Below are 22,366 nucleotides of genomic sequence, written 5' to 3' on the forward strand. Positions count from 1 at the left end.
CTCTCCTTCCTGAAGTTCATATCTTTTCTCAAGTTGGTGTGCATTCCCTTGTCCCTTATTTTATCCTTTTATTTTCTATCAAATATATTTTTCTTTCTTTCTTTTGTTTTTTTAGAGATGAGTCTCACTATGTTGCCCAGGCTGGACTCAAATTCCTGCGGTCAAGCAATCCTCTTGCTTCAGCTTCCTGAATAGCTGGAACCATAGGCATGCACCACCTTACCTGACTCCTATTTAATATTCTAAAAATTTGAGGCCAGGCACAGTGGCTCACGCCTGTAATCCCAGCACTTTGGGAGGCCGAGGTGGGTGGATCATTTGAGGTGAGGAGTTCGCGACCAGCCTGGGCAACATGGTGAAACCCCATCTCTACTAAAAATACAAAAATTAGCTGGGCGTGGTGGTACACACCTGTAATCCCAGCTCCTTGGGAGGCTGAGGCAGGAGAATTGCTTGAATTCGGGAGGCAGAGGTTGCAGTGAGCCGAGATCAAGCCACTGTACTCCAGCCTGGGCGACAGAGTGAGACTCTTGTCTCAAAAAAAAAAAAAAAAAAAAAAAAAATTGGGATAATCCAGTCAGGCGCGGTGGCTCACGCCAGTAATCCCAGCACTTTGGGAGGCCGTGGTGGGCGGATCACTTTAGCTCAGGAGTTGGAGACCTGCCTGGCCAACATGGTGAAACCCTGCTGGAATGCAGGAATGCAATCATAGCTCACCACAGCCTTAAACTCCTGTGTTTGAGAGGTCCTCCTGCCTCAGCCTCCTGAACAATTGCTCTTTGTGGACATGAAGTTGTTTCTGATGTTTTGCTGTTGTAAACACTACTTTAATTAGGCTCTTTTTTCCTCTCTTTTTGTGTATACATGTGAATTTATTTGGGGTAGATATCTGGAACTAGAGTATTGTATTGTGTTGTGTTGTGTTGCATTGTGTTGCATTGCGTTGTGTTGCATTGCAGTCTCGCTCTCTTGCCAGGCTGAAGTGCAGTGGTGTGATCTCAGCTCACTGCAACTTCCGCCTCCCAGGTTCAAACGATTCTCCTGCCTCAGCCTCCCGAGTAGCTGGGACTACAGGCGCACACCACCATGCCCAGCTAATTTTTGTATTTTTAATAGAGATGGGGCTTTCACCATGTTGGCCAGGATGGTCTCAATCTCTTGATCTCATGATCTGCCCACTTTGGCCTCCCAAAGTGCTGGGATTACAGGCGTGAGCCACCACACCCGGCAGTACTGCATTTATTTTAGAAAAATTAGTACTAATATAGTCTTCAACTTTATTAGATCCAGTTCTCTAAAGTGTTTGTCCACATACCAGCATTGCATGAGAGTTCTCTTTGCTCTATATCTTTTCCTATTCTTGGTCTTGACAAACTTTCACTTTTTCTGTCTAGCGAGTATGAAATTTCATTGAGGTCTTAGCTCATAGTTCCTAGATTACAATTGAGGGTGTACACATTTCTTATGTTTATTGCCCATTTGGGTTTCCGCTGTTTATTTTTCATATTCTTTTTTTTTTTCCGATTTTTTTTTACATTTTCTTTTTTCCTTTGTTCTTAAAAAGTTTAGGGCTGGGTGCTGTGGCTCACACCTGTAATCCCAGCACTTTGGGAGGCCGAGGTGGGCGGATCACTTGAGGTCAGGAGTTCAAGACCAGCCTGGCCAACATGGCGAAACCCCACCTCTACTAAAAGTACAAAAATTCACTGGGCGTGTTGGTGGGTGCCTGTAATTCCAGCTACTCGGGGGGCTGAGGCACGAGAATCGTTTGAACCCAGGAGGCAGAGGTTTCAGTGAGCCGAGATTGCTCCACTGCACTTCAGCCTCGTCAATAGAGAGACTTCATCTCAAAAACAAAAACAAACAAACAAAAAAAATTTCGCTTCTTTCTTTTATTTTTATGTCTTCTTCATTCTTGACGCTAGTCCTTTATTGGGTTTGTAGGTTACAAATGTCTTCATCTATTCTGTGGCTTATCTTTTAGTCACTCATTTTTCCACTCGATCTTTGTATCTTTTTTGTTTGTTTTTTTGAGATAGGGTCTTGCTCTGTTGTTCAGGCTGGAGTGCAGTGGCACAATCATGGCTCATTGCAGCCTCGAACCCCTTGGGCTCAGGTGATCATCCCGCCTCAGCCTCCTGAGTGGCTGGGACAGCAGCCACCATGCCTGGCTAATTTTTATATTTTTTTGCAGAGATGGGGGTCTCATAATATTGCCCAGGCTGGTCTTGAACTCCTGGGCTCAAGTGATCCTCCTGCCTTGTCCTTCCAAAGTGCTAGGATTACAGATGTGAGCCACTCACTGCAGCCAATCTTTTTATCTTTGAAAATGGTCTTGTCTCACATGATTCTTCTTAAAATATTTTAAAGTCTTATTGATATTATTGCAGGTTTTACTAACTGGTTCCTAATGTGCATGTATCCTGTTGTGTTATTTTTTGTAGTGGGTCAACAACCTGGAGGTTGATAGCAGATATAATTCGTGGCCTTCTAGTTTACAAGAGTTGCTTCGACCCACCTTTCCTGGTGTTATTCGGCAGATCAGGAAAAACTTACATAATATGGTAAGTAAAACTTATTGTCTGGCTGTGAACTCTGTTTCTCCCTTGCCTAGTCCCTCTTTTTTTGTCATGTAGAATGGTCACTTCTCACCTTTACTAGCTGCTTCCTCCCCCACCCTTCACCAAATACTCTTCCCTGTTCACACTGGAAAGGCTTTGTAGTGTACTGACCACTTGTGGGGCTGTGGGATGTAACAGGAGCATTACAGCCCCCCTCAGAGTGTGGGGAAATGCTCATTTTTAACACGAAGGTTTAGACTATTGTTTTAGTCTTTTAATTTGTTTTTAATTTTAAAACATTTTTAATTTTTTAATTTTTATTTTTTCTAATCAGCTTTTCCAGATTGAATAAGTTTCCTTTTCATACTCTTCACACCATTCAGTGATGTGTTTGTTTTTATTTTAAGACTTTATATTTTTTAGGGCAGTTTTAGTTTCATAGCAATATTGTTTTACTAGTTTTAAGATAGCTCTTTTTTTACAGTATATTACAGCATATTGCTACTGTTTTTCTTTAATATCTTAATCCCTAAAATTCAGCAGTTTAATTTATTCCCTTAAATATGGTTGTTTGCCAACTCCTACTTGTTATTCCTTCTTGCACTGCTTTAGAGAGAGAGAGAGAGAGGGTTCTTCATTGGCCCACTTTTTCCCTCTCATTTCTTTCCCTTCCCTCACACAGCCGGGAAAGAGATAGTGGTAGGGTTAGTGCCAAGGTTGGCCTCCTCAGAACTTGCAGGGAAGATTACCCTCTCTACTTTTCTTCTTGTCTGTCTCTTTTCTTCCCCCCACTCCCGCAGAAAGAGTCTTGCTCTGTTGCCCAGGCTGGAGTGCAGTGGCAGGATCTCGGCTCACTGCAACCTCTGCCCCCTGGGGTTCAAGTGATTCTCCTGCCTCACCTCCCAGTAGTGGGAATTACAGGTGCATGCCACCACACCTGGCTGATTTTTGTATTTTTAGTAGAGACGGGGTTTCACTACATTGGCTGGGCTGGTTTCAAACTCCTGAACTCAGGTGATCCACCTGCCTTGGCCTCCCAAAGTGCTGGGATTACAGGTGTGAGCCACCATGCCTGGCCACTTTTCTGTCTCTTGAAACCACTTCTTTCCTTTCTAGTCAGAATTTAAATCTCATTCTGTTTTACCACATGTCTGAACTTTATTAAGCGAGAGAATACGTCTAAGTTGCTTAACACGTAATACGTGTTTATATGCTTGCCTGACAGCTGTGGCTGTGGTCTAAGAATTAGGTTCTAAGTGAATTCTTAATTCAGAGATCCTCAGAAATGAATATACAAAAAGGCAGGCTCCATTTTTTAAGGTGAGAGAGTTGCTAAACTTGGTTTTCATTTGGTGTAGTAGAAAAAGCGGCATCATCACTTTGGAGTACAGTTCCCTTGTTATCAGCGTAAGTCCATGAGAAAATCACCTAGCCCTTCAGTACCAGGTTTTTTGAACATAGAGGGAGGTAGCTGCTATGTGTGTAATTCATCTTTTATGTGGTTCAAGCGTAGCTCGAAAAAGGTTGGCTTCATGTACAGTGACTCATAACATTTTTCTCGGCCCACAGATACTTGAATAAATGTCATTTCATGTGTTCTTTTCCCTTTCTTCAACAGGTTTTCATAGTTGATCCTGCACATGAGACCACAGCAGAGTTGATGAACACAGCTGAGATGTTCCTTAGTAATCATATACCACTAAGGTAACACTGGTATTGATTTGATGATGTATCTAATTTAGCTGAGGTTTTATTTGTCATTTTTAAATGCAAGTCTGGTGCTACTGAGTTGTAGGATAATTAATAGTGCACATCACTAATGGCAATTTTATCTTCTGGTCAGTATGAAGCCAGTGTCTTTTGGGACTGAGAATTTGCTTCTCAATGAATAGAAGCTTACCACCAATGAATTATCAATAAATAGCCCATGTAAAAATAGTTTCTGGCTGCAGCTTGCTTCCCAATGGAAGGGAATTTTCCTAGGTGAGTGTCCACATCACAAAACCTATTTCCACTTTCAGCAGAGATATAGAGCATTGCCAATAACTTGTTAGCCTGTCAAGGACTAAACATATACACAGCCTTTTGTAGATGCAAACAGTAACAGTTACTTCACTTGTGTTGCCAAACCTGCCTACAGGGTACTGAGTGGCTGGATTTCCACTGTCTTTTTAAGAACAGTTTTTTTTATTTTTTAAAGGTTTTACATATAAATGCTAAGATATTTTCACCTACATTCTAAATAATTCTGGTAATTTTACATGTTGGTGAAATTTTAATTCTTAGAAAATGTGAAAATAAAGAAGAAAATAACTCTTTATTCAATAAATATTACTGTGTGTTCCATGATTACTACTGGGCTAAATGCTGTAAACATGTATGCCTTATTCTACCTTCTTGGAAAAGATCCTCTGTATACTTTCAAACCCTTTAGGGAGATATATGATCAACTGCTAGGTTATGTCCTACTGGTTAGTTATAAGTGCGTTAGGATTTCAGGGAAACAAAAAAAATCATTGAGATATTTGGGAAGCCAAAGGTTTTTGGAGAAGTTGGATTTCAAATAGGCTTTGAGGAAAACAGAGGGTTCTGATAGTTGGAAATGCAGAGATTTTGAGTTTCATGACATTTTTCATATAAAGCATGAATACATCTGGTTAGATGGAAGAACCTATTACTGGATCACAACCAGAGCTATGTTTTGATCAAAAGAGAAATATAAGGACACAGAAGAAGTTGGGTCGTGGTACACAGTTGGCACTAATACAATATTTCTTGAATTGAGGGACGAGAAGAGGGCATGTGGTCTTCTGATTGCAAAGGCAGGTGAGAAGAAGGCACTTGAACTCCTAGGCAACTGAGAGATTGTGAATAGTTGGAGAGAGCCAGGCATACAGGCTGCTCTTTCCTTCTTTGTAGGAGCTCATGTGGTCCTGCATGTTGGCTGCTAAATATTGATACATTATTATTAACTAAACTCCATAGTTTACATTAAGATTTGTTATTTGTGTTGATGACACAAATGTATGATGTAAAGTATTCACATTACAATACAGTTTAATACAGATTAGTTTCACTGCCCTAAAAATCTCCTGTGCTTCACTTGTTTATCTCTTCCTCCCTTCCCCTAAATCTTTGGCAACTACTGATCTTTTTACTGTCTTCATAGTTTTGCATTTTCCAGAACTAGGTTGCAGTCATACGGCGTGTGCCTATTCAGATTGGTGTCTTTCACTGAGCAATGTGCATTTAAGCTTCCTCTGTGTCTTCTAGTGGCTTGATAGCTCATTTCTTCTTATCACTGGATAATAGTCATTATGTGGATGTCCCCCCATTTATTTATCCATTCACTTAATTGAAAGATACCTTGGTTGCCTACAAGTTTTGGCAGTTATGAATAAACCTGCTATAAACATCTGGGTGCAGGTATTTGTGTGGACATGTCTACAGCTTCTTCGGGTAAATACCGAGGAGCGTGATTGCTGCATCGTGTGTTAATAGTATGCTTAGTTTTGTAAGAGTATGCTTAGTTTTGTTCTAAAGTAGCGGTACCATTTTGCATTTCCACCAGCAATGAATGAGAGATCCTGTTGCTCCACAGCCTTGCCAGCATTTGGTTTTACCAGTATTTAGGATTTTGGTCATTCTGATAGGTGTGTGGTGGTATGTCATTGTTGTTTAATTTGCCGTTCCCTAATGACATATGATGTTCAGGATCTACTTATATTTATCACCTATCTGTATATCTTGTTTGGTGAAGTGTCTGTTCAGATTTTTTGTCCTTTTCTTTTTTCTTCTTTTTTTCCCCCTGCCCTTTTGTCTCCATTTTTAAAACTTTGGTTGTTTTCTTATTGTTGAGTTTTAAGAGTTCTTTGTAAGCCAGGTGCAATGGCTCATGCCTATAATCCCAGGACTTTGGGAGGCCAAGGTGGGAGGATCGCTTGAGGCCAGGATTTGAGATCACCATGGGCAACATGAGAAGACCTCCATCTCTACAGAGAACTAAAAAAGAGTAGCCAGGCGTGGTGGCACACACCTGTAGTCCCAGCTACTTGGGAGGCTGAAGTGGAGGATTGTTTGAGCCCAGAGGTTTGAGGCTGCAATGAGCTGATTGTGCCACTGCACTCTGGCCTCGGCAACAGAGCAAGGCCCTGTTGAAAAACAAACAAGAAGAGTTGCATATTTTGTTTACCTGTCCTTTATCAGATGGTTGTTTTGCAAAGATTTTCTGCCACTCTATGGCTTGTCCTTTCATTCTGTTAATAGTATCTTTCACAGGGCAGACATTTTTAATTTTAGTGAAGTCCAAATTAACCAAGTGTTGTCTTTCATGGATTGTGCTTTTGGATCTAACATCATTGCCAAGCTCGAGACCACCTAAATTTTCTTCTCTGCTATCGTCTGGGAATTTTTGTTTTTGTGTTTTACATTTAGACCTGTGATCCACTTTGAATGAATTTTTGTGAAAGATATAAAGTCTGGTCTAGACTGATTAATATGCATGTGCATGTCCAGTTGTTCAGCACCATTTATTGAAAAGATGATTCTTTGTCCATTGAAATGCCTTTGCCCCAGTATGTTCAGTGCAAAGTCTTTTTTGCCAGCCCATCTATAGATACATAATAGTATCTCTGTGGTTAATTCCTTTATTTTAAAATTTAAAATCTGATAAACTTTAACCTTGGTTATTGCTTTTTGTCGTGGGACAGTTGTAAACCTTTTTTGGCTTTTCTTTTACCAATAATTCTCATACTGCATGTGCTAAATGTCACAATCCCCCCCTTTCTGTTTACTTTGAAAGTGTGAAAATTTTTATTCTAGTTTTTGTTTAAAATCAGAAAAAAAAAATCTCTTAAAACTATAGCAACGCTCTTCATGTCAGTAAAGGAATCTTTTCATGACGTGGAAATGGCTTGCTTTAACAGTAGAAAGGCCTAAGCCACGTTTGAGAGCCTGCTTTTTTATTAATACTTTGTAAGTGGCCGGGCATGGTGGCTCATGCCTGTAATCCCAGCACTTTGGGAGGCCGAGGCTGATGGATCACCTGAGGTCAGGAGTTCGACACCAGCCTGGCCAACATGGTGAAACCCCATCTCTACTAAAAATACAAAAAATTAGCCAGGGGTAGTGGCGTATAATCGCAGCTACTTGGGAGGCTGAGGCAGGAGAATCGCTTGAACCTGGGAGACGGAGGTTGCAGTGAGCCGAGATTGCACCATTGCACTCCACCCTGGGCAACAAGAGTGAAACTCTGTCTAAAAAAAAAAAAAACCTTTGTAAGTGGTGTATGTATACCTTTGCCAATCATGTTAGAGTAGAGTAGGCTGTGAACTGTGCTTTTCACTCAAAGAGTTTTCCTCTGTTAGCTATAATGTATGAGAAGGGTACAAGGATGTCATTCTTTTTAACCATTTGCATTCTTTGACATGTTTCTTTTTTTCTTTTCCCTTTCCCTCCAGAATTGGTTTTATCTTTGTGGTTAATGACTCTGAAGATGTTGATGGGATGCAAGATGCTGGAGTGGCTGTTCTTAGAGCATATAATTATGTTGCCCAAGAAGTGGATGATTATCATGCCTTCCAGACTCTGACACATGTACGTTTTTGTTCAGAATGGCAAATAATTTTTTCAGATCTAACTTACTCTTAATAACAATGTGTGGTCATTGTATGCTAGGCAGCTGGGGTGTATAGAGCTCAGGGGTGGGTCCTGAATTTAAAAGTCATGTCTGCTGCAGTGTATAGAGATGGATCTGAGGAAGGGCAAAGCAAAGTGGCAGGGATGCCAGTTGATGAGCTGTTGCAGTGATCTCCATGAGAAGTAATGGGGAAGGTAGTTAAGCAGGGCTGCGGAGAATGAAATAGGTTCAAAAGAAGTCACTCAGAATAGTAAGTATTTTATACTTTGTTATTTTATTCACTTTATCTCTGCTAAAGGTTTGCTTTTGTTTGTTTGTTTGAATATATCTTCCACAACGGCTACCTTAAAATTTTATTTATTTATGTACTTTTTGAGACCAGATCTTGTTGTGTTGCTCAAGCTGGTCTCAAACTCCTAGGCTTAAGGGATCCTCCCATGTCAGTCCCAAATAGCTGGGATTACGGCCGTGCACCACCATGCCCAGAGAATATTTTAACTCTGCTTTTTAAAGTTTTTATTTATTTATTTATTCATTTATTTTTTATTGTTATAAGTACACATGTTTGATCGAGGGGGCCAAAGAAGATAGAGAGATGGTACTGTACACAGCTGGTATAGGCTTGGAGGCCGAATGTCACACAGAGACAGACACAGAAACAGTCCAGCACTCAGCAGGGAAAGCTGGGCAGTATTCTGAGGCTTGTAACACTTGGTTGGCAGGTGACAGTCAGCAGGGGATCTGGCCTAGGGCTGAAGGGGCGCAGGCATCCTGGAGGCTCCCAGATCTGAGATCCCGGGTGGCACCTGCTGTGGCGCCTGGGTTCAGCTCACATCATTCAGGGACTTGCAGGCAAACTTGGGCAGTACGAAGGCAGCACTGTACACATCTGAGCAGCTGCACCTGCTCCACCTGCTGCCGTGTCACTTGTTGCATGGGCTTCTGGAAGTTGGTGCTCGGGTTTTTGCTGCAGAGCATGAAGGCAATCTGGCCACTGGGATAGGTGGGGACAGTGCAGTAGGCGTGTGCCACCATGGAGAAGAGTGACTGGCAGAACTACCGTGTCTGCTTGATGAGGTCCAGGTGCAGCCACTGGTACTCGCCCTGGCAGCAGAGAATGCTGTCCTCGTTGAGGGCCATCTTCATGAGTGGTAATAGGATTCCTTGAAGAGGCTCTCAGCGGATCCCAGGAGTCAGTGATCATAATATTGAAGGCATCCTGGTTCTGCTTCACGAAATCAAAATCGTCACCCATATGCAGGGTCAGCTTAGAGCTAGAGAAGCCAATGGCCATACCCGGCAGGAATTTCTTAGAGACCTGAGTGCCATCCTTTTCAGTCTATCATCGGACCACAGACTCCACAGAGGGGTGCTTCACCACCTTGTGCAGGATGCCGTCTTTGTCCCCGACGATCAGCACCTTTTGTGGGATGGGGTGGTTGCTGAATGGCAGGTTGATTCTCATCTAGTAGGAGAACTTGTCCCTGTCCATGCAGGGGATGATGCCATCCAACACCAGCACACTGCTGTGGGTCTTACTGTGGAAAACAAGGATATCCTGGGAGCGTGAGCGCTGGCAGTGGAGCAGCTGCTCCATCTGTAGCAACAAGGCTTCCCTGGGCTCAGGCTGCAGATCTCATGGAACCAGCCCTCCTAAATGGCAGCGTGACCATTGAAGCCAGGCTCCATGTCTCTTGGGCTCTGCGGCCTGAGACTGCAGGCTGTGCAGAGCCACAGCACAACAGGACCAGCTACACCCACCACCCACTGTTTATTTTATTTTATTAAAAAATTTTTTTTAGAGACAGGATCTCACTGTTGCCCAGGCTGGATTGCAGCAGCGCAGTCAGGGTTTACTACAGCCTTGAACTCCTGGCCCTAAGTGATCCTCCTGCCTCAGCTTCCTGGAATAGCTGAGACTACAGGCATGCATCACCATACCCAGCTAATTTTGTTGTTGTTTTTAATTTTTGGTAGAGATGATGTCTCACTATGTTTCCCAGGCTGGTCTCGAACTACTGAGCTTAAACAATCTTACTGCCTTGGCCTCCCAAAGTGCTGGGATTTTACGTGTGAGCCACTGGGGCTTGGCTGCTGTTTTTTATTTCAGAAGTGAAGTAATACTGCTCACTGTAAAAACACTTGAGGCCAGGCGCAGTGGCTCACACCTATAATTCCAGCACTTTGGGAGGCCAAGGGAGGGAGATCACCTGAGGTCAGGAGTTTGAGACCAGCCTGGCCAACATGGTGAAACCCCGTTTCTACTAAAAATACAAAAATTGGCCATGTGTGGTGGCTCATGCCTGTAATTCCAGCACTTTGGGTGGCCGAGGTGGGTGGATCATTTGAGGTCAGGAATTCGAGACCAGCCTGGCCAACATGGGGAAACCTCATCTCTACTAAAAATACAAAAATTGGGCCGGGCACGGTGGCTCATGCCTGCAATCCTAGTACTTTGGGGAGGCCGAGGCAGGTGGATCACGAGATCAGGAGATCAAGAGATCAAGACCATCCTGGCTTTAACACAGTGAAACCTGTCTCTATTAAAAATTAAAAAAAATTAAATGGGCGTGGTGGCAGGCGCCTGTGGTCCCAGCTACTCGGGAGGCTGAGGCAGGAGAATGGCATGAACCTGGCAGGCAGAGCTTGCAATGAGCCAAGATCGAGCCACTGCACTCCAGCCTGGGTGACGAAGCGAGACTCCATCTCAAAAAACAAAACAAAAATTAACCAGACATAGTGGCAGGCACCATGTCTCAGCCTCCAGAATAGCTGGGATTAGACGCCTGCCACCACGCCCAGCTAATTGGGAGGCTGAGGCTGGAGAGTCTCTTGAACCCAGGAGGCGGAGGTAGCAGTGAGCCAAGATGGTGCCATTGCACTCCAGCCTGGGTGATGAGTGGAAACTCCATCTCAAAAAAAAAAAAAAATCAAATAAATAATACTGGAGTCAATTTAGATTTCTCTATCTCTCCCCTCTCCCTTTCCTCATCCCTCCTAAACATCGTGGATGTAGTTTTTATTTCAAGGACTACTTATAAGTGTTGAGATTTTTCTCTTTTTTTTGAGACAGTCTCACTCCATCATCCAAGCTAGAGTGCAGTTGTGTGATCTTGGCCCACAGCAACCTCTGCCTCCTGGGTTTAAGGGATTCGCCTGCTGCAGCCTCCTGAGTAGCTGGAATTACAGGTGTGCACTACCACGGCAGGCTAATTTTTGTGTTTTTAGTAGGGTTTCAGCATGTTGGCCAGGCTGTTCTCGAACTCCTGACCTCAAGTGATCCACCCGCCTCACCCTCCCAAAGTGCTGGGATTACAGGTGTGAGCCACCATGCCTGCCTGGCCTATTTAGATTTTTCTTAACTAATATATTTTTTCATTTGACACTTAACAAGACTGAGCTGATTCCGGCCAGGTGTGGTGGCTCATGCCTGTAATCCCAGCACTTTGGGAGGCCGAGGCGGGCGAATCACGAGGTCAGGAGTTCAAGACCAGCCTAGCCAGTATGGTGAAACCCCGTCTCTACTAAAAAATACAAAAATTAGCTGGGCGTGGAGGCGTGTGCCTGTAGTCCCAGCTACTCAGGAGGCTGAGGCAGGAGAAGCGCTTGAACCTGGGAGGTAGAGGTTGTAGTGAGCCAAGATTGTGCCACTGCACTCCAACCTGGGTGACAGAGTGAGACTCCATCTCAAAAAAAAAAAAAAAAAGAATATTTAATTTCCAACCTAGGAAGCCATCTTAGTAAGGTATATGGAAAAGGAAGAATTGCTAACATGTCCCAATTTGACCTTTCAAGAAAAGTAATTGGCCAGGCGCAGTGGCTCATGCCTGTAATCCCAGCACTTTGGGAGACTGAGGCGGGTGGATCACCTGAGGTCAGGGTTTCAAGACCAGCCTGGCCAACATGGTGAAACCTGTCTCTACTAAAAATACAAAAAATTAGCTGGGCGTGGTGGCAGGTGTCTAATCCCAGCTATTCTGGAGGCTGAGACAGGAGATTCACACGAATCCGGAAGGCGGAGGTTCAGTGAGCCGAGATTGTGCCATTGCACTCCAACCTGGGTGACAGCAAAACTCCGTCTCAAAAAAAAAAAAAGAAAAATAAGTATATTTTCCTCTAAATTCAGAAAAATGTGGAATAAACACTTTGAAATTTGAACTTAAAAGTGTAGTTAACCAACTGTTTTTTCTTTCTTCAGATCTATAACAAGGTGAGGACTGGAGAAAAAGTGAAAGTTGAACATGTGGTCAGTGTCCTGGAGAAGAAATATCCGTATGTAGAAGTGAATAGCATTTTGGGGATTGATTCTGCTTATGATCGGAATCGGAAGGTAAAAAATTTCTTTGTGTTTCTTATTTGATTGCAACATTGTACTGTCCTTAACCCCGTGTTTGGGGGCTTTGGTTAATAATGGCGATGGTGGTTAAAGTGTTTCAGTACTTAGCATTTAAAAGTTTAGAAACCAGATCACTTTTCAGTGTTTGAAAAAGTTTTTATTTCAGTCTTGTGAAGATATGACTGATTTTTAACTTGCTTATTAACTTTTAATGGAACTGTTTAAGTCTCATTTTCTCTTATCCTGTTGAAGAGAAAGTACCAGTAGCTTTTTATTGTGGATGATTATGATATCAAAAGTATTTACTTGAAAAATGATGAGTAGAGTGGACAAACTGGGGAAAGGAGTATTTTTATATCTTTACATGTGTCGAAATCTTGATTGTGCTGAAAAATTGAATGAGAGTATCACACACCATGCTCCTTAGTTTCCTAGACTTGGCCATCTGTACTGATTAGAGGCTCTTCTGTATACAAACAGGTCATATTATTTATATTTCATCCATTTAATTGTCTAGCTTTTTGAATAGAAGTACTCTTAAGGCAGGGATGTGGAGAGTATCCCAGAAGTCCTAACAATCTAATGACTAATGAGATTTTTTTTTTTTTTAACTACAGCAGCTTTACCCCTATACAAAAAGTCCAATGGAATGGATTCTTTTGAAATGGTTAATTTTAGGAAAAATGGCTGCTTCTAATAAATGTCATTGCACTTGTAAATCTGTTCCTTTTGTTATAGTGAAGCTATGATATCTTCTGTGTCTGAAAGAAGTAATTATTTTAAAAAGTAGGCAATGCAATTAAAGTAGAAATTTTAAACTGATGAGAATATATAGTCTGATAGGTATATATTTATATCTTTCAAAGCCAGTAAGATAATGATATTAGGAAAAGTTCTAACCTACGTGGGCAAACACTTTACCTTTAGCATATTATCTTCGAGTCCTTACTAATCTCAGTTGTTTGTGAGTGGCTCAGTATAAAACTACCAAAAATTAATGTTTGTTAATTATTTATCATTATTTAATATTTTTAGTTAGCTGTTGATAGAAAATTTGTCCATATGAATTTTCAGTTTGGCTGTTTGATAATTGTGCTGCATTCTGTTATTTGGTCTTGTAAACTATTTCTGAGTGGTGAAAAAGGAAGCTACATAGTCCAAACACCTCCCTGTCACTCCTGACTTCCACTCAGTTACTGTTTGCAGACAAAACCAATGTTATTTATCTTATTGTATCTTGGAATTATAATGTAAGTTTTCTGGTCTTGTTTTAATTGGTTGACAGGGATGATTTTCAAAACTAAAGTTAGATGAAAATTGAGTTTTAATGGATATCTATGAAATAGTCGAGATGTCAAAGAACAGAATTAACATGGTAAGAGTTTTAGGAGTGTATATTTAAAACATTTAAACTATGATGTAGAGAAGTGGCTTGAACCAACCTAGAAGGCTTTTTAGGCTGTGCCATGTTTTAGGCTGTCAGTTTCTGTGCTGTTACCTGTTATTGAGCTTGTCTGATTAGAAAGTAAGCAGTCTGTTACCGATGACTCGGATTAGTTACCCAATGGGAGTTCTTTTCTACTGGTGCTATCTAAAATGGTTATAAATAATTAAATTCTGCTATTTTCAGAAAATGGCAATTACAAGGTGTGCGATAGACATTTGTAAAGTTGCCCACTTTACATCTTGGGTGGTAATACAGTTTTTACTCTGAAAAGTTAATCTGAGGGACAAGCACCTATGTTGACAGTCAGGAAAAATGTCTGTCTTAGGTACATTTGCCGTTTTGTTGCCCCAGTATTTTCTGGCCAGTGAACCTCTTTTGTCCTGGAGAAGGGAAAAGATTGGATGTATTGTGTCTTAGAGCAATTGTTGAGCACTGTTTCCCCACAAACCTTGTTTTGTTTTCTGCAGGTGTAATTTCTTTGTTAGTGATATGGACCCTTATTTAGAATTGGGTGCAAATATTTACCTCAGGCTTTTTGCATAGAGCGCTTATAATTTATGGTAGCAAAACCTGTGCACCTCATTTTGGCAGCCCATGGTCACATGTAGATTTTAAAATGGAAATTAATTAAAGATTTAGTTACTTGGTCATAGTTGGCAGGTTTCAGGTGCTCAGTAGTTACATGAGGTTAGTGACTACTGCATTGGACAGCACAGACAAGCACAGATAGAATATTTCCATCATTGCAGAAAGTTCTGTTGTATAGTGCTGACCGTAGAATATGTAGTTCAGTTTTGACAGCCTGTGCTACACACACACACAAACACACACACACACACACACACATACACAAACACACGTACACACACACGCACTTCATAATTTGCAAGCTTTTGTGGTCTTGTAAAAACTTGAACTCAGTAATTCAATCTCAGATTTACATAGTAGGATATTAACTTTGATGTCATTTTTCATTTTTTTAAAAAGAAATATCTTGAGTTATTTTTTCTTTACAATATTTCTATTGATTGTTGTTAGAACAGGCATGTAAGAAAAATATGCTGTGTTCCATTTGTCTCACAAAAGGCAAAAATATACTGTTTTTGTGGTTACTTGTGTTTCAGGAAGCAAGAGGCTACTATGAGCAGACTGGAGTTGGACCTCTGCCCGTTGTGCTGTTCAATGGAATGCCCTTTGAAAGGGAACAGCTAGACCCTGATGAGTTAGAAACCATCACAATGCATAAAATCCTGGAGACCACCACCTTCTTCCAAAGAGCGGTGTACTTGGTGAGTCACGTTTCAAGGCTGATTTTTTAAAGAGAACAGTTGGCTTATATTTTTTGTTGCCTCTATAGTAGGCAGTAAAATTCTTAGTATCACTATTTGGGAGGCTGAGGCGAGAGGATGGTTTGAGGGTAGGAAGTCTGAGACCAACCTGGGCAATATGGCAAGACCCCATTTCTAAAAAAGAAATTAAAAAATTAGCTAGGCTTGGTGGTGCACGCCTGTAGTCCTAGCTACTCAGGAAGCTTAGGTGGAAGGATCGCTTGAGCCCAGGAGTTTAAGGTTGCAGTGAGCTGTGATTACCCCACTGTACCCCAGCCTGGGTGATGGAGTGAGACCCTGTCCCGTTAAAAAAAACAAAACAAAACAAAAAACTATTTTCTGTAAGTCACTTGTAATTGGTTTGCAAACTCTTGGCAAGTCCTATGATGAAAATATTCATAAATCTTCTATATATGGTAATTTAAATAACTAGTATTATTGATTTCAGGATTAAATGTTTATTTTAAAAATTGCAGGCAGTTCTAAGAAACATTTATTCTATTTGTAGGGAATTTTGGCTTTGGAGAGACTCAATATTATTTTTCATTTATATATAAATATTAATATATATAGTTCTTGAGATATAATTCAGACAGTATAAAAGTCAGTCTTTTGAACGGTACAATTCAGTAGTTTTTATTCTCTACACACAGTTATGTAACTACCACCTCTAATTTTCAGAACATTATCATCACCCCCAAAAGAAACCCCACATCCAGTAGCAATTACTCCTCTCCATTTTGCCCATTTTGTCCTACTCCCAGCCACCCTGCCATTGGCAAACACAAACCTACTTTCTGCTTAATAGATTTGCTTGTTCTGGACGTTGTATACAAATCAAATTTGCAGAGAACAGGATGATATTGGACAGATAGCTTGTTGCTCAGAACCCCAACTCTCTAATCATGTGGTTGGTCTTTCTAGTGTTACCAGCCCCCAACCTGAGTCATTGCATTAGCACAGACTCTCGGGCCCCACTGTGCATCAACCCGTAGTATAAACCACCATGTGTGTCCTAAGGGGCTCACCATGAATGACAAAGACACTCCTATCACTGGATTTAGAGTTTACATCCCAGAAACTAGGGCCAGCCAAATTATTTACCACACACAGTCCTTTTCTCTTCCCTCCTCTCATTCTGGAAATATGCACATGGTGGTACTCTCTCATGTCCCACAGATCTCTTTATGTTCCTCAGACTGGATAATCTCAGTTTATCTATCTTCAAATTCACTTATTCTTTCTTCTGTCAACTAAAATCTGCTATTGAGCCTCTCTAGTGAATGCTTCATTTCAGTTATTATAAATCCAGATTTCTATTTGGTTCTTTTTGATAATTTCCTTTGGTTTATAGATATTATTTGGTGAGATGTTGGTCTTAAACTTTACTTTGGTAGACATGGTTTCTTTTAGTTCTTGAATATATTTGAAATCATTTATTTAAATTCTTTTTCTAATTAAGTCCAATGTTTGGACTTACTCAGAATAATATGAACATAATGTAAGAATATACATTACACATTTTACTTATATAATAGTAAGAATAGTATGTCTTGGCCTCTTCTCTTCCTGAGTATACACCATACTTTTTTCTTTCTGCATGTCTTTTTTTTTTTGTTTCTGATACAGGGTCTCGCTCTGTCACCCGGGTTGGAGTACAGTGACATGATCTTAGCTCACTGTGGCCTCCAACTCCTGGACTTAAATGATCTTCCCAACTCAGCCTCTCGAGTAGCTGGGACTATAGGTGCATGCCACCATACATGGCTAATTTTTGTATCTTTTTGTGGAGATGAGATCTTTCTATGTTGCCCAGGCAGGTCTCAGGTCGCGAACTCCTGGGCCCAAGTGATCTTTCCGCCTTGGCCTCCCACAGTGCTGGGATTACAGGCATGAGCCACCATTTCTGCATATTTAATAATTTTGTTTTTGACAACTAGGAATTTGAAATAATATAATGTGACACTTCTTCACCGTACCAGGGTTTATGTTGTTCTTTGTTGTTGTTGTAACTGTTATTTGTTTAGTGACTTTCCTGAACCAATTCTTTCTTTTATTTTCTTTCCTTTTTTTGAGACAGAGTTTCGCTCTATTGCCCAGGCTGGAGTGCAGTGGTGCCATCTCAGCTCACTGCAACCTCCGCCTCCTGGGTTCAAGTGATTCTCCTGCCTCAGCCTCCCGAGTAGCTGGGATTACAGGAGCACACCACCACACCCAACTAATTTTTATATTTTTAGTAGAGATGGGGTTTTACCACATCGGCCAGGCTCTAATTTCAGAACATTGGTCTCGAACTCCTGTCCTCAAGTGATCCACTCACCTCGGCCTTCCAAAGTGCTGTGACTACAGGCATGTGCCACCATGCTCGGCCCTGAACCAATTCCTTAACATCTGTATTCTTTTTCATGTGTGGCTTCTGAAGTTTCAGCTTGTTTAACTTACTGGTCAGCTGATGAACGAACAGAGATTTCCTTTGATGCATGAATTCAAAAAGTCTCCCAGTTTTCCCCAAGGGTCTCTGTGTTGTGTTGGGGCACACTTTCCACACTCAACCAGGCAGTTGGCAACTCTGCCTTAGTCTTCCATTTTTGCTTGCACAGAGCCCCAAGGTTAGAGGCAAGGGTTTAAGACCTTCTAAGATTTTCCCTGGGCATTCACGTACCCCTGGGCATGGTGCTTATGGTCTCTCAAATTCCAAGAAGTTTGTCAGAGCTTTTCAAAGTCCCTTATGGACATCCCATTCCCCAGCCTTTTTTTTTCTTTGTTTTTTGACCAGCTTTGTGTTAGCCCATGTGTTATCTGCCACCTCAGGCAGCTAAGATGTTAAACAATTGCCCAGTTGTGTTTGACAGATACCCCCAGGGAAAAGGCTGTTGGCACTGAGTGAGGTCTGGTTCAGCCCAAATAAAGAGAACCCCTGAGAATTCTCTAGTGTCCTAGTTGTTTTATTTTGGGGCCATTGATTTTCAAGGCTTTGTGCAGCTGGGGAGATGTAAATAGTAGTGGGGCAAATTAATTGTTACAAAGGTCACTTTCCTTACCAAAACTTTTTTTGAGACAGGGTCTCTCTGTCACCCAGGCTGGAGTGTAGGGATTGTGATCATAGCTCACTGCAGCCTTGAACTTCTGGGCTCAAGCAGTCCTCCTGCCACAGCCTTCCAAGTAGCTGGGACCATAGGTGTATGCCACCACATGCAGCTAATTTTTGTATGTTTTGAAGAGTTGGGATTTTGCCAGGTTGCCCAGGCTGTTCTCCAACTCTTGGGCTCAAGCAATTTGTCTACCTTGGCCTCCCAAAGTGCTGGGATTATAGGCATGAGCCATCGTGCCTGGCCAGTATTCCATTATAAAAAATAGGCCGGGCGCGATGGCTCATGCCTGTAATCCCAGCACTTTGGGAGGCCGAGGCGGGCGGATAATGAGGTCAGGAGATTGAGACCATCCTGGCTAACACGGTGAAACCCTGTCTCTACTAAAAACACACAAAAAAAATTAGGCCGGGCGCGGTGGCTCACTTGGGAAACCGAGGTGGGCGGATCATGAGGTCAGGAGATCAAGATCATTCTGGCTAACATGGTGAAACCCCATCTCTACTAAAAATCCAAAAAAAAAAAAAATTAGCTGGACATGGTGGCGGGCGCCTGTAGTCCCAGCTACTCAGGAGGCTGAGGCAGGAGAATCGCTTGAACCTGGGAGGCAGAGGTTCCCTCTGGGAACCAAGTGCAGCCGAGATTGCGCCACTGCACTCCAGCCAGGGTGACAGAGCAAGACTCCGTCTCAAGAAAAAAAAAAAATAATAATAATAATTAGCTGGGCGTGGTGGCTCATGCCTGTAATCCCAGCTACTCGGGAGGCTGAGGCAGGAGAATCGCTTGAACGCAGGAGGCCGAGGTTGCAGTGAGCCAAGATCGTGACATTGCACTCCAGCCTGGGCGACAAGAGTGAAACTCTGTCTCAAAAAATATATAAGTAAAATAAAATAAACATTTACTTCATTCCCTAGTATTGGACATTACTTCTACATTTTCACTAGTTACAGACAGTGCTACAGTGAATATTCTAATATGTATATACCTTTGTACATTGTCTTGAAAAATACCAAGTACTGGAAAATTTGAACTAAATGCACTACAAAAAGATGTGTTATCAGCCAGTTGTGGTGGCTGACGCCTGTAATACAACACTTCGAGAGGCTGAGGCTGGAGGATTAGTTGAGCCCAGGAGATTGAGACCAGCCTGGCTAACATAACGAGACCTCATCTCTACAAAATAAAAAAAATTAGCCAGGCATTGTGGCATGCACCTGTAGTCTGAGCTACTTCGGGAGACTAAGGCAGGAGGGTTGCTTGAGGATTGAGGCTGTAGTGGGCTATAATCATGCCACTGCACTCTAGTCTGAGCAACAGGGCATGACCTTGTTTCTTTAAAAAGAATTAAGAGATATGCTATGCCAGTGGTATGAAATTCAAAACAGAAATGTAAATGAAGAGAAACTTTTAGCCATACACCCCTGTGCTGTACTACTCATGATTTCTTCCTCAAGACAACTACCATGTGTGTGTGTGTGTGTCTGTGTGTGCACGCATGTGTGCATGTGTGTGTATACAAGGGCTGGTCAGAAGGTGTTACATTTACAATTATTTATTTTTTTTAATTAATAACTTTTTTTTTTTTTTTTACAAATGTTTATTCTTATATGTACAACAGGCTTCAGGACAACACTTCATTCCAGCTATAGGTGGCAAAAGATGCTATGGCAGGGAATACAGATGTTTAAATATGAATGAAATCAAGGGTCACCATCTCCTCAGGCACAAGGCACAGCTTACTTGTTGCCAGATTTTTTTTTCTTTTCTGTTTTTGAGATGGAGCCTCGCTTTGTCACCCAGGCTAGAGTTCAGTGGTGTGATCTCGGTTTACTGCAACTTCTGCATCCCAGATTCAGGTGATTCACCTGCCTCAGGCTCCTGAGTAGCTGAGATTACAGGCGCCCGCCACCATGCCCGGCTAATTTTTGTATTTTTAGTAGAGACAGGGTTTTGCCATTTTGGCTAGGCTGGTCTTGAACTCCTGACCTCAGGTTATCCACCCGCCTCAGCCTCCCAAAGTGCTGGGATTATAGGCATGAGCCATTGCACCCGGCCCAGATTTCTTAATTTCACCTGCAGCCAGGGGTCCCTTCCCCATAGCCTTCTATTTTAGCTCCTATTTTTGTTTCTTCTGCTCCTCTTTTTGTTTCTGCTTGAAAGTCTTACCTTCCTCGTCCATCTCCTTGGCCTGCTTCTTGGGCTGTTTCAGCAGCACCTTCACAGGCAGACATGGCGCCTGCCACGCCTTCCCCAGGCCCTGCAACCCTACTTTTAAAATTTTTATAGACTTTGCCAAATTCCCCTCCTTGAACTCGATGGGCTTCTAATTGGAGTCAAGTAGATTTATAATATTGACCAAAGTTGTATACATGGGCCAACATGTACAGTGAGCCATCTAATATCTTTGTCTTTTGATTTGTATGATTGGTTCATATGCTCCTTATTAAATAGCTACAAATAATGTCTAATTGGAATTATTTAGACTTGAATGTGTATATTTGATTCACATCTTTTATCTTGAAAATGACTTCAGGTCGGGCACGGTGAGAGAGGATCTCTTGAGCCCAGGAGTTTGAGACTAGCCTGGGCAATGTGGTGAAACCCCATCTCTACAAAAATACAAAAATTAGCTGGGTGTGGTGGCACATGCCTGTAGTCCCAGCTATTTGGGAGGTTAAGGTAGGAAGATCCCTTGAGCCCTGGAGGTCAAGGCTGCAGTGAGCTGTGGTTTTGATTATACTACTACACTCCAGCCTGGATGAAAGAGCAAGACCTTGTCTCAAAGGAAAAAAAAAGAAAATGACTTTAAAGTATACCTGTGTGTTAAATATTTTAAGTTTGATAAATCTGCACATTTGCACAGTTGTTGACACATGGCTCTGAGATCACCTTCAAGAAGTATAACTATTTCTGTAATATTAGCTGTGCAAAAGGGAAGAATAAATGACAATGATTTCCTATCCTCTCATTGTAATTCTGACTCTGGAGATGTAAGTTTATTTGGATGGCTGAGATTGAACAAAGATGGGAGTGGTTTTTATTACAAAGTATATTAACTGCTTGAGAGAAGACCTTTTCCTATTTTTTTTTTTTCCTTGGGACAGAGTCTCACTCTGTAGCCCAGTGCAGTGGCATGATCTTGGCTCACTGCAACCTCTGCCTCCCAGGTTCAAGTGATTCTCCTGCCTCAGCTTCCTGAGAAGCTGGGATTACCGGCACCTGCCACCATGCCCGGCTACTTTTGTATTTTTAGTAAAGATGGCATGTTGGCCAGGCTGGTCTTGAACTCATAACCTCAAGTGATCTGCCTTCCTCAGCCTCCCAAAGTGCTGGGATTACAGGCATGAGCCACCATTCCTGGCCTGGGTTTGCATTTCATAATCACTTTGCATTAGCTTTGTGAGTTTGAGTAAGTTATTTAACCTTTCTGTGCCTTAGCTTCCTCATCTTTACAATGAATGTCAACAATATCTGCCTCACGTTGTTGATAGAGGTAGAGATGCTGTAGGTGATGTGCCCAGGTATACTCGGCAGTGACAGGGACCAATAACATAGTAACTTCTGTCTTAACTATTATTAGCACAGAGGAAGCCATTTATAAAGTTAATAATTTTTTGGTTCCTAATGAATTATTATTGCTAAAATTTGCTTTACCCTCCCCCCTCAACCTCCTTTTTTTTTCTTGCAGGGTGAACTGCCCCATGATCAAGATGTGGTAGAGTATATCATGAATCAGCCAAATGTTGTTCCACGAATCAATTCTAGGATTTTGACAGCTGAACGAGACTACCTGGATTTAACAGCGAGTAGTAAGGAGCATTTCAGGAACAACCTTATGCTTTTTTTGACTTGTGCTTCAGAATCTTTACATTTTTCAGATTTTAATATTCTGATTATCTTCTGCAGTGTTCAGAAGATAGCCCAAGATTGTGACAAAATTTTATGTGTAAACTCTTTGCACCTTTAG

General features: G+C 41.8%; 1 protein-coding gene and 1 pseudogene across 11 annotated transcripts in view; one reads left to right on the forward strand and one right to left on the reverse strand.

The window, feature by feature from the left end:
* UGGT1 (UDP-glucose glycoprotein glucosyltransferase 1) overlaps positions 1-22,366 on the forward strand; it is a 104,478-nt gene that overhangs the window by 39,497 nt on the left and 42,615 nt on the right. For 10 of the 11 annotated variants that reach the window (NR_027671.3, NM_020120.4, XM_006712635.5 and 7 more), the window contains exons 14-19: positions 2,445-2,564; positions 4,180-4,265; positions 8,021-8,156; positions 12,398-12,529; positions 15,107-15,271; positions 22,088-22,208. Coding sequence is in view for 10 of the 11 variants with exons in the window: in NM_020120.4 (NP_064505.1) it covers positions 2,445-2,564; positions 4,180-4,265; positions 8,021-8,156; positions 12,398-12,529; positions 15,107-15,271; positions 22,088-22,208 (760 nt within the window). In the remaining variant the exon portion in view is untranslated. Of the gene's footprint in view, positions 1-2,444; positions 2,565-4,179; positions 4,266-4,475; positions 4,545-8,020; positions 8,157-12,397; positions 12,530-15,106; positions 15,272-22,087; positions 22,209-22,366 lie in introns of those variants that run through there. The other variant, XM_017004509.2, reaches the window with a different exon arrangement.
* Positions 8,746-9,951, reverse strand: SRMP3 (SRM pseudogene 3; annotated as a pseudogene).

Source organism: Homo sapiens, chromosome 2 (assembly GCF_000001405.40).
Source record: "Homo sapiens chromosome 2, GRCh38.p14 Primary Assembly".
Lineage (NCBI taxonomy): Eukaryota > Metazoa > Chordata > Mammalia > Primates > Hominidae > Homo > Homo sapiens.